Source organism: Homo sapiens, chromosome 10, assembly GCF_000001405.40.
Source record: "Homo sapiens chromosome 10, GRCh38.p14 Primary Assembly".
NCBI classification, from domain to species: Eukaryota; Metazoa; Chordata; class Mammalia; order Primates; family Hominidae; genus Homo; species Homo sapiens.
The window spans coordinates 259358-273244 of record NC_000010.11 but is presented as its reverse complement, the minus strand read 5'-3'; the positions used below and the strand labels follow the sequence as shown (position 1 = coordinate 273244).

Genomic DNA, 13887 nt, shown 5'->3' with positions numbered 1-13887 from the left:
CGCAGGTGGGTGAGTATAGGATTTGCTACTGTGAAGTTGTGTTCTGCATTCTCCACGGCCCCTCGCACAAGGCTGGGTTCTTAGGATGCAACCAAGAGTAGTTCTGTTGGCTGGCCAGTCCTCGTTTTGTCTTGTGAATCCTCCACGAAACATGTCAGTGCACTCACAATGGTCTGTCCACCTGGACAGAAGCAGTCACACTGCTTCTGTGGAGAGGTTGCTTAGCACAAGGAGTCATTTCCTAACTGCCGCATTTGCTGCGATGCTCAGCTCTGACTGTTGTCTCAGTAGAACTTGCGATTCCTGATCCCTACTGACATACTCAACATTTCTTTCTACCAGAATCTAGAAAGTCATGCTGAGATCCTATACAACCTCTCCTGTAATCCCTGGGTTTTCTTTGTAGAATGAGAATGTCGGCTGGTGTCATTGTCACGTCCCTCTGGCAAAACATATTGCAGGCACAAGCGGCTCAAGTCTAGTGCATACTCTCAGTTGCAGCTCTTGCTGTTTGTTGGTCTGTTATGTTAATTCTATGAACAAAATAACAGGCAAGACCAAGCTGATACCTTAGCAAGTGATGTGGGTTGGCCCCAGTGCTAACGTGGCTTGTCATTCTGCGATGAGGGCATCGTGGGGTGTTGGGAATATGGGCCTGCCCAGCTTGCTTGCTCTAGGGGTCCAGTGGTGTTTCTGCTCTGCACTCCCCAGGTCGCACGCCTGTCTTTACCCCATCTCCAAACGGGACTCGGACTTTCGTGGGCACAGTGAGTTTGTGCCTGAGCTCTAAGGCGCGGTAGCAAGTTCAGCCCCATCTAGAACTGGCATTCAAGGCAGAAATAGGTAGAAATAGAAAGGGCTTCTGTCACTGCCTCTGAGACTTGAGTTTTTTATTTTTTTTTTTTGAGACAGACTCTTGCTCGGTTACGTGGCTGGAATGCAGTGGCGCGATCTTGGCTCACTGCAACCTCCACCTCCCGGGTTCAAGTGACTTTTCTGCCTCAGCCTCCGAGTAGCTGGGACTACAGGTGTCCGCCACCACACCCAGCTAATTTTTGTATTTTTAGTAGAGATGGGGTTTCACCAAGTTGGCCGGGATAGTCTTGATCTCTCAACCTCGTGATCCGCACGCCTTGGCCTCCCAAAGTGCTGCGATTACAGGCATGAGCCGCCGTGCCTGGCCTGAGTTTTTTACTACACCTACTACAAAGACTTCTAGCAAATGACTTCTACAAACCAGCTGGCTCACTCAGATGAGGATCCCAGGTGTGTTTCTTAGAAGCCCTACCAGGGGAGGGAGGGTGCAGGAGGCAGAAAGGTTGAGAACCTTAGGAAGTTTGCTGACACAGCATAGTTGGGCAGAAAACATATTTTGCAGCCCTATTCCAGGAGAGTGTGTGAGAAGCACCTGGAAGTGCGTGTGCCCCTCCCAGGGGGCCCCAGGGAGCTATCCCTTTTTCAGGAGGTGTAGAAGTAGCCAGGTCCAAGTGGATGTCCAGGAATGGGCCTGGCCACTCTTCAGCTGCTGCACGTCTGGGATAGAACAGAGTGGAGGGAAAGGGGTCCTAATTTTTGAGAATGCATGGAATATCCTGAGCCACAAGCCTGGCCTCACAGAACAGATAACCCCCACGACAGTGCATCCTGCTGTCTCTGCTCTGAGCTAAACTGCAGGAGAACCCCGCCTTTAGGGACCTTTTCATCCCAGGAACCCCAGCAACACCTAGGCTCCAGTACTGGGACAAGAATCTGAGCTATTTAAAAATGTGCTTCTGTAGGAAATGATGTCAGAATGCTTGTTTCATAGGTCTGTTCTTTAACAGACAGCTATTCAGCCCCAGCTGTGCAGATCCCACTTCCTGGGAGTGGAGCAGAGGCTCTGCGTGGAGCATCCATGTGCAGTACTCTTAGGTACGGAAGGGATTGGGCTAAACCATGGATGGGAGCTGGGAAGGGAAGGGACCAACTTCAGGCCCCACTGGGACACTGGAGCTGCCACCCTTTAGAGCCCTCCTAACCCTACACCAGAGGCTGAGGGGGACCTCAGACATCACACACATGCTTTCCCATGTTTTCAGAAATCTGGAAACGTAGAACTTCAGGGGTGAGAGTGCCTAGATATTGAATACAAGGCTAGATTGGGCTTCTGTAATATCCCAAAGGACCCTCCAGCTTTTTCACCAGCACCTAATGCCCATCAGATACCAAAGACACAGCTTAGGAGAGGTTCACCCTGAAGCTGAGGAGGAGGCAGCCGGATTAGAGTTGACTGAGCAAGGATGACTGCCTTCTCCACCTGACGATTTCAGCTGCTGCCCTTTTCTTTTCCTGGGAATGCCTGTCGCCATGGCCTTCTGTGTCCACAGGAGAGTTTGACCCAGATACTCATGGACCAGGCAAAGGTGCTGTTCCTCCCAGCCCAGGGCCCACCATGAAGCATGCCTGGGAGCCTGGTAAGGACCCAGCCACTCCTGGGCTGTTGACATTGGCTTCTCTTGCCCAGCATTGTAGCCACGCCACTGCATTGTACTGTGAGATAAGTCAAGGTGGGCTCACCAGGACCTGCACTAAATTGTGAAATTCAGCTCCAAAGAACTTTGGAAATTACCCATGCATTTAAGCAAAATGAATGATACCTGAGCAAACCCTTTCACATTGGCACAAGTTACAATCCTGTCTCATCCTCTTGATTACAAATTCCATCCAGGCAAGAGCTGTATCACCCTGAGGTCTCCCCATTCATGTTTTGGTCAATAATATTTAGTTTCCTTTTGAAAATAGATTTTTGTGTTACTCCATTATGATGGGCAGAGGCCAGATGCTTATATTCTATTTAAATGACTATGTTTTTCTATCTGTAACTGGGTTTGTGTTCAGGTGGTAAATGCTTTTTTTTTGCAGTCAGAAGATTCCTGGAAGGCGACCAGAAATTAGCTGGCCGCTGTCAGACCTGAAGTTACTTCTAAAGGGCCTTTAGAAATGAATTCTTTTTTATGCCTTCTCTGAATTCTGAGAAGTAGGCTTGACTTCCCCTAAGTGTGGAGTTGGGAGTCAACTCTTCTGAAAAGAAAGTTTCAGAGCATTTTCCAAAGCCATGGTCAGCTGTGGGAAGGGAAGACGATGGATAGTACAGTTGCCGGAAAACACTGATGGAGGCGGATGCTCCAGCTCAGCCAAAGACCTTTGTTCTGCCCACCCCAGAAATGCCCCTTCCTCAATCGCAGAAACGTTGCCCCATGGCTCCTGATACTCAGAATGCAGCCTCTGACCAGGACCATCTGCATCCTCCAGGAGCTCGTAAGAAATGCAGCATCGTGGGACCTGCTGGCACCTGGTGAACCCAAACCTGCAGGGCTCCTGGGTGTGCTTGGGGCGGCTGCAGGGGAAGAGGGAGTCAGCAGCCTCCTCCTGACCTTCCCGGGGGCTGCTTTTCTGAGGGGCCAGAATGCACCGGTTGACCTTGTTGCATCACTGGCCCATGACTGGCTGCTTTGGTCAGGTGTAAAAAGGTGTTTCCAGAGGGTCTGCTCCTCTCACTATCGGACCAGGTTTCCATGGAGAGCTCAGCCTCCCAGCAAGGATAGAGAACTTCAAATGGCTCAAAGAACTGAGAGGCCACACATGTGTGACCTGAATAGTCTCTGCTGCAAAACAAAGGGTTTCTTAATGTAAAACGTTCTCTTCCTCACAGAGGGGTTCCCAGCTGCTAGTGGGCATGTTGCAGGCATTTCCTGGGCTGCATCAGGTTGTCATAAGCCAGAGGATCATTTTTGGGGGCTCATAAACCAAAGACGGGTGACACTCTGCTGCCCATATCAGCCACCAGCTCTGTGTTTCCTGGAGGTAGAATTGGGCTGCAAAGATGGGCTTGGGTGACATTAATGGGTTTTAGGGATTCTGTGAGTTAAGATCAAGCCATTAGCCGTTAATGGGCAGTTGCTCCAGAAGGTAACAGGCATGCTGGCCCTGCTTGGTGTCAACTCCAGCTCACTGCTAACCTTACAAGACAGGGAAAACAAACTTTTTCTGTAAAGGGCCAGCTAGAAAATATTCTAGGCTTTGCAGCCCATATGGTTTCTACCTCAACTCGATTCTGAGCAGTAGCGTGAATGCAGCCATAGAAAGCCCCCCAATAAGTACTGTGGCTCTAGTCCCATGGAGCTTTTTTGGGAGACACCAATTGAATTTCCAATGATTTTTCCCATCATGAAGTATTCTATTGATCTTTTTTCTGCCATTTAAAAGTATAAAGGCTATTCTTAGCCCGTGGGTCCTACAGAAATAAATGACAGCTGGAGACAGCCCTCAAAGGAGTTTAATTTTTCAAATTCTGCCTCGTTCATTTCTTCAGCCAGCAAATATTTGAACCCCAACTGCTGGTGCTGAGGATCCCACAGCTCCCCAAGTCTGGCAGCTCTGAGGCATGAGCTCTGAGGGAGGTGCCCACCCTCTCCAGTCACACCAGTGTCTTGGCTTAGCCACAAAGCGCAGATCACGTATTATTCTTTTCTGTCTCTAAGATGAGGGATAAGAGTAGATGATGGTGAAGTTCTTATTTTTCCCCACATACAGATACAGCGTTCTTTAAATGGATCTAACCAAAATATGACCACACTGATGCTTCCTCTGTTTAAACATATTTTTCCTGCCTTCAAACAGCTGGTCCTGATTAGCCTCTGGACTCAGGTGCGATGCAACATCCTTGCCAGCCTGATGGGATGATGGCAGGTAGAGGCAGGGGCAGGAGCACCCATATCTGCCCCCTTTCTCAGCCAACAACTCTCCTGTCTTAATTTAGGAGGAAGGGTGCTGGGTATACTGAACAGGGCAGTCATCCAGGGCTTTAACTTCCTGGAAACAACAATGAGGTCTCCAAAATATAAGAATTCTTTTTCAACACCAAAGTTGAGAATTATTCTGTCTTAATGCTGATTGACAGTCTGTCAACAGAGATGAACAGGTCTGCTGCAAGTTTCTAACACCATGTTTCGAGATAAGTGAAGACACACTTGAGAAGGAGCAATTTTAAAAGACCCTGTGATCCTTTATGGTGTAAATAATCCCTCCCTCGGTTTAAAGATCAACTCAAGTATTTAGGTATTACCATGTTAAGTATTTTGCTACATTATGTAAAAGGATGACTTACAGGGTTACGTTTCTATAGAGAGATGCTTCTTCCCCATCACCACCCAAGTTCAGTTTTGGTTGCGGCCCACTCAACTCAATCGTGCCTTCAATAGCTCCTTGACGTTCGGAGAATAAGGACAGCAGTCAGGCCACCGGCATTTAACGAGTTTCTGCTATGTTTAAAGCACTTAATTTGAGATGGGACTAGGGTTTGAGGAGGTACATGGACACGAAGCACCCCTTCGTAAGTGGACGCCACAGCATGTGTGCAGGGACCACGGCCCCTGAGGTTAGTAATGGCACAGTTAGGAAAGGAAGAAAAAGAAAAATATCACTATTACCTGGTGTCAGCATCTCAACATTTACTGCCTGGGCTGTTAAGAAAAATCTTTTTGTTTTAATACACAAAATGTAATGTTTTAAGTAGATAATCCGACCACAGGGTCCAAATGTGGACACCGTGAAAAGGTGTTCATGGTGAAGTCGCGCTTGCAATCCGCTTGCAATCTTGTTCCTGTGCTCCGGTCCCCACAGCTCATCTTGAGAGAGAACCGTTTTTACTAGTTGCTGCTGTCTTTTCAGTGTTTATGTGAATACAAGCCAATCATGAATGTATATTCCTACCACCCCCTCATTCTAATCGGAAAGGACATGTACTGTGTATTCTGTACCTTGCTTTCTTTAAAGTTCATCCTGATTACTGTCTTTTATAAGGAGCCTGGTATTCCATTGTTTGGTTGCACCGCAGTCCCTATTAATGGGCACTTAGCCTTTTTCCTGTCTTCTGCTATTATGAGTCATCAATTTTTGTTATGATAACAGTGTATTTCATAATTGGCCAAGCGTATCTGATGGACAGATTTCCAGAAGTGGGATTGCGGCACCAAAGAGTCAACATGCTGTAATCTGGTCAGATTTTCCCAGAAAGTGTCCCTTGGTGGCATCACGTTCATTTTTCACTTTTACCAGCAACACTTCACTGACAGAAATTGTGGTGCCTTTATGTGTTTTCCAGTATCCCATGTCAGAAACGGTGGTTTTCAGAGGTGCCTTTATGCGTTTGCCAGTACCCCGTGTCAGAAACGATGGTTTTCATTTGCATTTCTCTTGTCATAAGTGAGTGTATTTAAAAATATCTTTAAAGCCGTTTCTATTTCTCTTTCTGTAGACTGTTTTGTTCATATCCCTTGGACTATTGAATTGTTGAACTTGTCAGGAAATACTTTGAAAGATTTTTACATGGGCAAAAATATATATATTTTTGGATGTCCTGACTAGCTCAGCCATCCAGGTTATCTCTGCATTTTATTGTCTTTGAGCTACTTTACAGCTCTATACATTGTAGAGAACTTATGATAATACAAATTATTCCTGTCCATAGAAATGAGAGAAAAGAATTTTTTTTATATATATACTTTAAATTCTAGGGTACATGTGCACAACATGCAGGTTTGTTACGTATGTATACATGTGCCATATTGGTGTGCTGCACCCATTAACTCATCATTTACATTAGGTATATCTCCTAATGCTATCCCTCCCCCCTCACCCCACCCCACAACAGGCCCCAGTATGTGATGTTCCCCTTCCTGTGTCCAAGTGTTCTCATTGTTCGATTCCCACCTATGAGTGAGAACATGCGGTGTTTGGTTTTCTGTCCTTGTGATAGTTTGCTGAGAATGATGGTTTCCAGCTTCATCCATGTCCCTACAAAGGACATTAACTCATCCTTTTTTATGGCTGCATAGTATTCCATGGTGTATATGTGCCACATTTTCTTAATCCAGTCTGTCATTCATGGACATTTGGGTTGGTTCCAAGTCTTTGCTATTGTGAATAGTGCTGCAATAAACATACGTGTGCATGTGTCTTTATAGCAGCATGATTTATAATCCTTTGGGTATATACCCAGTAATGAGATGGCTGGGCAAATGATATTTCTAGTTCTAGATCCCTGAGGAATCGCCACACTGTCTTCCACAGTGGTTGAACTAGTTTACAGTCCCACCAACAGTGTAAAAGTGTTCCTATTTCTCCACATCCTCTCCAGCACCTGTTGTTTCCTGACGTTTTAATGATTGCCATTCTAACTGGTGTGAGATGGTATCTCATTGTGGTTTTGATTTGCATTTCTCTGATAGCCAGTGATGGTGAGCATTTTTTCATGTGTCTTTTGGCTGCATAAATGTCTTCTTTTGAGAAGTGTCTGCTCATATCCTTTGCCCACTTGTTGATGGGGTTGTTTTTTCCTTGTAAGTTAAGTTTGTTTGAGTTCTTTGTAGATTCTGGATATTAGCCCTTTGTCAGATGAGTAGATTGCAAAAATTTTCTCCTATTCTGTAGGTTGCCTCTTCACTCTGATGGTAGTTTCTTTTGCTGTGCAGAAGCTCTTTAGTTTAATTAGACCTCATTTATCATTTTTGGGTTTTGTTGCCATTGCTTTTGGTGTTTTAGACATGAAGTCCTTGCCCACGCCTATATCCTGAATGATACTGCCTAGGTTTTCTTCTAGGGATTTTATGGTTTTAGGTCTAAATTTAAGTCTTCAATCCATCTTGAATTAATTTTTGTATAAGGTGTAAGGAAGAGATCCAGTTTCAGCTTTCTACATATGGCTGAGAAAAGAACTTTTATCTCAGGAGTATGAATCCTTTTAAACTATTAGGTCCAGAGAGACAGTAAAATCAGGCAGCAGTCACATCACATACACCCCTTGACCTTATGCGTGCATCTCTTGAAACTGCTTGCTGCTGCTACAAGTAGCTATGAATCAATGTAGTGATACCACGTCAGACACTGTACCCCGTGCCCTGTACCCTACAGTTATGAGTCAACCTAGTGACATACACTGGACACCATACCCCATGCCCTGTACCCTATAGCTGTGAGTCAACCTAGTGACATGCACCGGACACTGTACCCCATGCCCTGTACCCTACAGCTGTGAGTCAACCTAGTGACATGCACCAGACACCTTACCCCATACCCTGTACCCTACAGTTGAGTCAATCTAGTGACATGCACCGGATGCCGTACTCCATGCCCTGTACCCTACAGTTATGAGTCAACCTAGTGACATACACTGGACACCGTACCCCATGCCCTGTACCCTACAGTTATGAGTCAACCTAGTGACATACACCGGACACCATACCCCATGCCCTGTACCCTACAGCTGTGAGTCAACCTAGTGACATGCACCAGACACCGTACCCCATGCCCTGTACCCTACAGCTGTGAGTCAACCTAGTGACATGCACCGGACACCATACCCCATACCCTGTACCCTACAGCTGTGAGTCAACCTAGTGACATGCACCAGACACCTTACCCCATGCCCTGTACCCTACAGCTGTGAGTCAACCTAGTGACATGCACCAGACACCTTACCCCATACCCTGTACCCTACAGTTGAGTCAATCTAGTGACATGCACCGGATGCCGTACTCCATGCCCTGTACCCTACAGTTATGAGTCAACCTAGTGACATACATTGGACACCGTACTCCATGCCCTGTACCCTACAGTTATGAGTCAACCTAGTGACATACATTGGACACCGTACTCCATGCCCTGTACCCTACAGTTATGAGTCAACCTAGTGACATACACTGGACACCGTACCCCATGCCCTGTACCCTACAGCTGTGAGTCAACCTAGTAACATGCACCAGACACCTTACCCCATACCTTGTACCCTACAGTTATGAGTCAACCTAGTGACATACACTGGACACTGTACCCCATGCCATGTACCCTCCAGTTATGAATCAACCTAGTGACATCCACTGGACTCCATACCCCATGCCCTGAACCCTACAGGTATGAGTCAGCCTAATGATGCCACACCAGATGCTGTTACTGGCATCCTATAGGTTAATAATGTACAGCCAATCACTCGGCACTGTTGTTTCTGTAAACCGACAAGAATTCCTGACAGTCAACTTGCTGTCAGCCCACTCCTCATCCTCTTCTTTTGCCTTTAAAAACCCACTTGTGGCCAGGCGTGGTGGCTCACACCTGTAATCCCAGCACTTTGGGAGGCCGAGTTGGGCGGATCACCTGAGGTCAGGAGTTCAAGACCAGCTTGGCCAACATGATGAAACCCTATCTCTACTAAAAATACAAAAGTTAGCCAGGCATAGTGGCATGTGCCTGTAATCCCAGCCACCTGGGAGGCTGAGTCAGGAGCATTGCTTGAACCCAGGAATTGGAGGTTTCAGTGAGCCGAGATTGCGCCACTGTACTCTAGCCTGGGTGACAGAGTGAGACTCCATCTCAAAATCAACAACAAAAAAATAAAAAAATAACCCCACTTGTAACTGCTGCTTCTCAGAGCATATATTATCAGAGCATATACTCAGGGCAACTTGAATCTCTGCTCCCAGCTGCAATCCTCAAGCTTGGCCCAAATAAACTGCCTACTTATATTAACTTTGCCTCGGATTCTTCCTTTTAGGTTGACTATCTGGTATAGTCTGCAGGATTTAGAGTGTCTTCCCCTGACCACACGGTGTTTCTCTCTGAAAGCGGCACTTGGTACCAGCACAAACTCTGTCTTCAGAAGTCCCACCAGGTGTTTTGGGTGAGTTCTCCTGAAATTGGGCCTCCCACTGAAACTAGCCCAGTTGTCCCATAGAATTGCTGTTCGTGGTTTCTTTAGAATAAACATAGAAATTGACATTCCCAGTCTTAAAACTTGAGAAACTTACATTGGTCTTACCCGAGTTTCTTTCTCAGGGCACCAACTATCAGGCCTCCCGGATGGTATCAAGGAGCTCAAACTCACCAGGTCACCACATCTGGACAATGAGAGGCCAAACCCCTCACCCGCCATGACTGCCTAACCACCCACCTGCTGCCTGTTGACTGACTCCTCTTCCTTATCCCTCCCTAGTTCCTGTTTTCCTGCATGTAAGTTACATTTCTTCCCTGCTATATAAACCCCTAATTTTAGTCCGTCAGGGAGATGGATTTGAGACTGCTCTCCCATCTCCTCAGCTGCAGCACCGATTAAAGCCTTCTTCCCTGGCCATACTTGTCTCAGTGATGGGCTTTGTGGGCAGAAAGCAGCAGGACCTAGATCAAACCCCTAGCATTTTGGTAACACCACTCTTTGGTTGAAAGTCCTGACTTATTTAGGCTGTTTTTCAAACTCTTTATTTTAAGAGTAAGGGCTTTGCTCTCTGTCTTTGGATAGGAGATTCAGGTAAAGAGCTCCGTAGAGAAAGTTTTTCCACCTCTGTCTCAGGACAAGGGATTTGGGTCAAACTTTTTCTGTCCCTGTCTCACAGCAGAGGTTCAGGTCAACGGATTTGCCGTTAGGCGTTTGTGATCTCTTTGTACATTGTATGCTTTTAAAAATTGCAGTTACTTTTCTATTTTTGAAATGTGGGCCTGATTTTTCATTTGTGGCAAACTCCTATTAAATACCAGCAGGTTTTACATACATTATAGATATCTAGGAAAGGGGACCTACCTAACCAAGGATGATCATAAACAACAATGACCAAAAATGGAAGTCTTTTGAAATACCTAAAATAATTCATTTGTACACACAATTGGAAAAAGCCACTTTTAGAAACAAATTAAATGGAAGACTTCCAGCGGCACCTAAAAAGCTTCTAAAATAAATTCTGAGAAAATCGCCTCCCTTCAGGAGGTAAACAAAGAGATACCTGTCACTACCACCTGAGGAAACTCCCCAGGTCTCTGACCCCCTCCCTGAAACTCCTATTGTGGCAGCTCAGTGTCACCACAAACCCTTCTGGTTCTGGGGGCTGCCCAGTATTCTTCAACTATTCTCCACTCGATTAAAAAGACCACCCAATGAGCAAGATGGGTCTCCAAAAAACACCTTTGTTGCCTAGCTGACAATTGCTTAGGGCAATAAAACAAATAACTATAAAAGACTAATAGTCTAAAAGAGGGGAATGGACAAAAATAAAATTAGATCATTAAAATGCAGATCCAACAAATTTTTTCTGCTTTAGGACTCTAATGACTGACTGATGAAATGCTGACATCCAGGGAATTAGCTAAGTAGCATTCCAGCTGAAATCAGATAAAAAACAACTTTAAATCCTTTAAATGTTCCAACTACCTGCTTTGGATCCCCTGCAAGATTTACCCACAAAAAGGAAGCATGTCCACCCTGTGGCCTAATGACTGGGGTTTGGTGCTTTCACTGCTGCAGCCTGGCTCCTTCCTCATCAGGGAGCCAGTCCCTTTTGGTTTGGTATTTGTGATAGCTTCCAACTTCGTGGGATACTGCTTCGCCACTCAGGAAGGTTCCTTTGGTAAAAATGATTCAAAACACAGAACTATCATCTGTTTGTCCTGGCTAAAATCTGATAAAGAGATATGAATTTTTTTTTTTTAATTTTGAGACAGAGTCCCACCCTGTTGCCAGGCTGGAGTGCAATGGCATAATCTCGGCTCACTGCAACCTCCGCCTCCCAGGTTCAAGCGAATCTCCTGCCTCAGCCTCCCAAGTAGCTGGGATTACAGGTGCATGCCACCAGGCCCGGCTAATTTTTATATTTTTAGTAGAGATGGGGTTTCCCCACATTGGCCAGGATGGTCTTGAGCTCTTGACCTCATGATCCGCCTGCCTCAGCCTCCCGAAGAGCATGAGCCCCCGCGCCCGGGCAGTTTTTTTTTGTTTTTTTTTTTTAAAGCTCTATGGTCAGCTTAATTAAAACTGATATTCAAGCTATATGTGTACGTGTGTGTGTGTTTAAGGCCTTTCTGCTATTGCTCTTGGGGTCTCGTTTTGGAAATTCTTTTTCAGTAGATTGAAACCGTTTTTTAAAAAACTTACGTGTTTGGTTCCTCTGTGTTCACTTCCTTTCTCAAGAACGGCTCTGCCTGTTCTTCTTCCTGCTCCTCCTTCCTCTTTGGTTCCACGTGAAAGGATCTGGAGGGGACATCTCATGCCTCAGACACCTTAATGAGCGCAGGAAAAGGCCCCACTCACTGCTTTCCGGGGTCTTCTGTCTTCCTGTGCAGTCTAGAGAGTCACGGGCAGGGTCCTGTCAGGTCTGAAACCGCATTCTGTGCTGCGTGACCTGATCTCTTGGCTTTGGGGCCCTGGAGATTACATTGTACTGTGGGACAGGACTTAACCTCCGTGTGTGTGATGGCTGCCGTCACTGGTGAGAGCTGCAGTTTTGGGGGTGGCCGAAGGCACTTTTTTATAGTAAATGGTTATTACTACAGGGAGCTACTCATTTCTTTCCATGTTTAGATAAAAAACGTGCATTTTAAACACTTAGAGAAATGTCTTGGTAATGAAGTGTACTGTGCAGGTGTTGTATGGCCCAGTCCCATGACAGTCCTGTGTTTGAAGGGATCTGGGATTCAGTATAAAAGTAAAATCCTGGCCGGGTGCAGTGGCTCACACCTCTAATCCCAGCACTTTGGGAGGCTGAGGTGGGCAGATCACAAGGTCAGGAGTTCGAGACCAGCCTGGTCAACATAGTGAAACCCTGTCTCTACAAAAAATACAAAAATTAGCTGGGCATAATTGCAGGCATAGTCCCAGCTGCTTGGGAGGCTGAGGCAGAAAATTGCTTGAACCTGGGAGGTGGAGCTTGCAGTGAGCCAAGATCGTGCCACTGCGCTCCAGCCTAGGTGACAGAGCAAGACTCTGTCTCCAAAAAAAAAAAAAAAGGTCCTTCCAACTGCCTGGTTTTCACTTTTTTTTTTTTTTTGGACTTTTTTTTTTTTTTTTTTAAACAGAGTCTCACTCGGTCGCCCAGGCTGGAGTGCAGTGGCGCAATCTCGGCTCACTGCAAACTCCACTTCCCGGGTTCACGCCATTCTCCTGCCTCAGCCTCCCAAGTAGCTGGGACTACAGTTGCCTGCCACCACGCCTGGCTAATTTTGTTTTTGTATTTTTTGTAGAGACGGGCTTTCACGGTGTTAGCCAGGATGGTCTCAATCTCCTGACCTGGTGATCCACCCGCCCTGGCCTCCCAAAATGCTGGGATTACAGGCGTGAGCCACCACGCCCGGCCTTGGCCCTGTTTCTTAATGGGCTCTGCCCTGAGTCCATTGGTCCAGTTGGAAAACAGACTAAACCGAAAGCTACCTATACAAATGACATTGGCCTCCCTATAAAATCCTATGGTAAGTTACCTTGGCACCCCTTTTTAATTTTCCTCTAACTACCATACTTCAACTCCTCCTTAACAAGGCTGAAATTCTCTGTGTGTGAGAAATAAATTTGCTACCCTGTTTTCCTCTAAAACTCCATGAGGGCTTGGGCCCTGGGGGAGAGAGAAATCTCAGCCTGTTCCATTCACAGAGACACAGTTTAAACCCAACTGTTCTTTGATACTAGTGATTGTCACCTGACTCATGGCTGACATTTTAAAACTAACGCTATAAGATCTTTATGTCTGTCTGTATTTTTGTATATTCATGTGTACGTGTCTGTCTGTATATTGTTCATGGTACCAAAGTGGCTTATAAATAAATGAGTACTTGTAAATTAAGCAAATAAGCCCAAATGCTTTTCAAGTTCATGTGATTTTAGTCATCTTTGAGAGTTTTTAAATTGTTGGTGAAACAAAAATATCTTCAGCATTTAATTTAGACATTGTGCCTGGGTCTGTTGGTCAGGCAGGTTTATGCCATCTCTGCTAGAGGCTGGGGGTGAGGACACCTCCCTACAAGACAGGTGTGAAGGAGGATGCCCCTCCCTCATGGCCTACGGGGTTGGGCTTGAGAACTGGAACTGTGTCTCTAGGCCAG

The 13887-nt window shown here is 46.0% G+C and overlaps 1 long non-coding RNA gene across 1 annotated transcript, besides 3 other annotated features; it reads left to right on the top strand.

The window, feature by feature from the left end:
• The first annotated feature begins 1125 nt into the window (after window positions 1-1125).
• LOC107984191 (uncharacterized) lies at window positions 1126-13073 on the top strand. The gene is made up of 4 exons (XR_007062029.1): window positions 1126-2453; window positions 9587-9712; window positions 9868-10041; window positions 13036-13073. It is a non-coding gene; the product is annotated as an uncharacterized LOC107984191 (long non-coding RNA).
• Window positions 2888-3396: an enhancer, noted in NCBI's record as "NANOG-H3K4me1 hESC enhancer chr10:315789-316297 (GRCh37/hg19 assembly coordinates)". NCBI's record gives its function as "activates a minimal SCP1, AML or CMV promoter by ChIP-STARR-seq in naive H9 embryonic stem cells {active_cell/tissue: H9 hESC(naive)}" and the evidence as "EXISTENCE:reporter gene assay evidence [ECO:0000049][PMID:30033119]".
• Window positions 3397-3906: an enhancer, noted in NCBI's record as "NANOG-H3K4me1 hESC enhancer chr10:315279-315788 (GRCh37/hg19 assembly coordinates)". NCBI's record gives its function as "activates a minimal SCP1, AML or CMV promoter by ChIP-STARR-seq in naive H9 embryonic stem cells {active_cell/tissue: H9 hESC(naive)}" and the evidence as "EXISTENCE:reporter gene assay evidence [ECO:0000049][PMID:30033119]".
• Window positions 7778-8977: an enhancer, noted in NCBI's record as "CDK7 strongly-dependent group 2 enhancer chr10:310208-311407 (GRCh37/hg19 assembly coordinates)". NCBI's record gives its function as "activates an origin of replication core promoter dependent on BRD2, BRD4, P300/CBP, MED14 and CDK7 cofactors, with strong dependence on CDK7, by STARR-seq in HCT116 cells {active_cell/tissue: HCT116}" and the evidence as "EXISTENCE:reporter gene assay evidence [ECO:0000049][PMID:35650434]".
• Window positions 13074-13887: the final 814 nt, after the last annotated feature.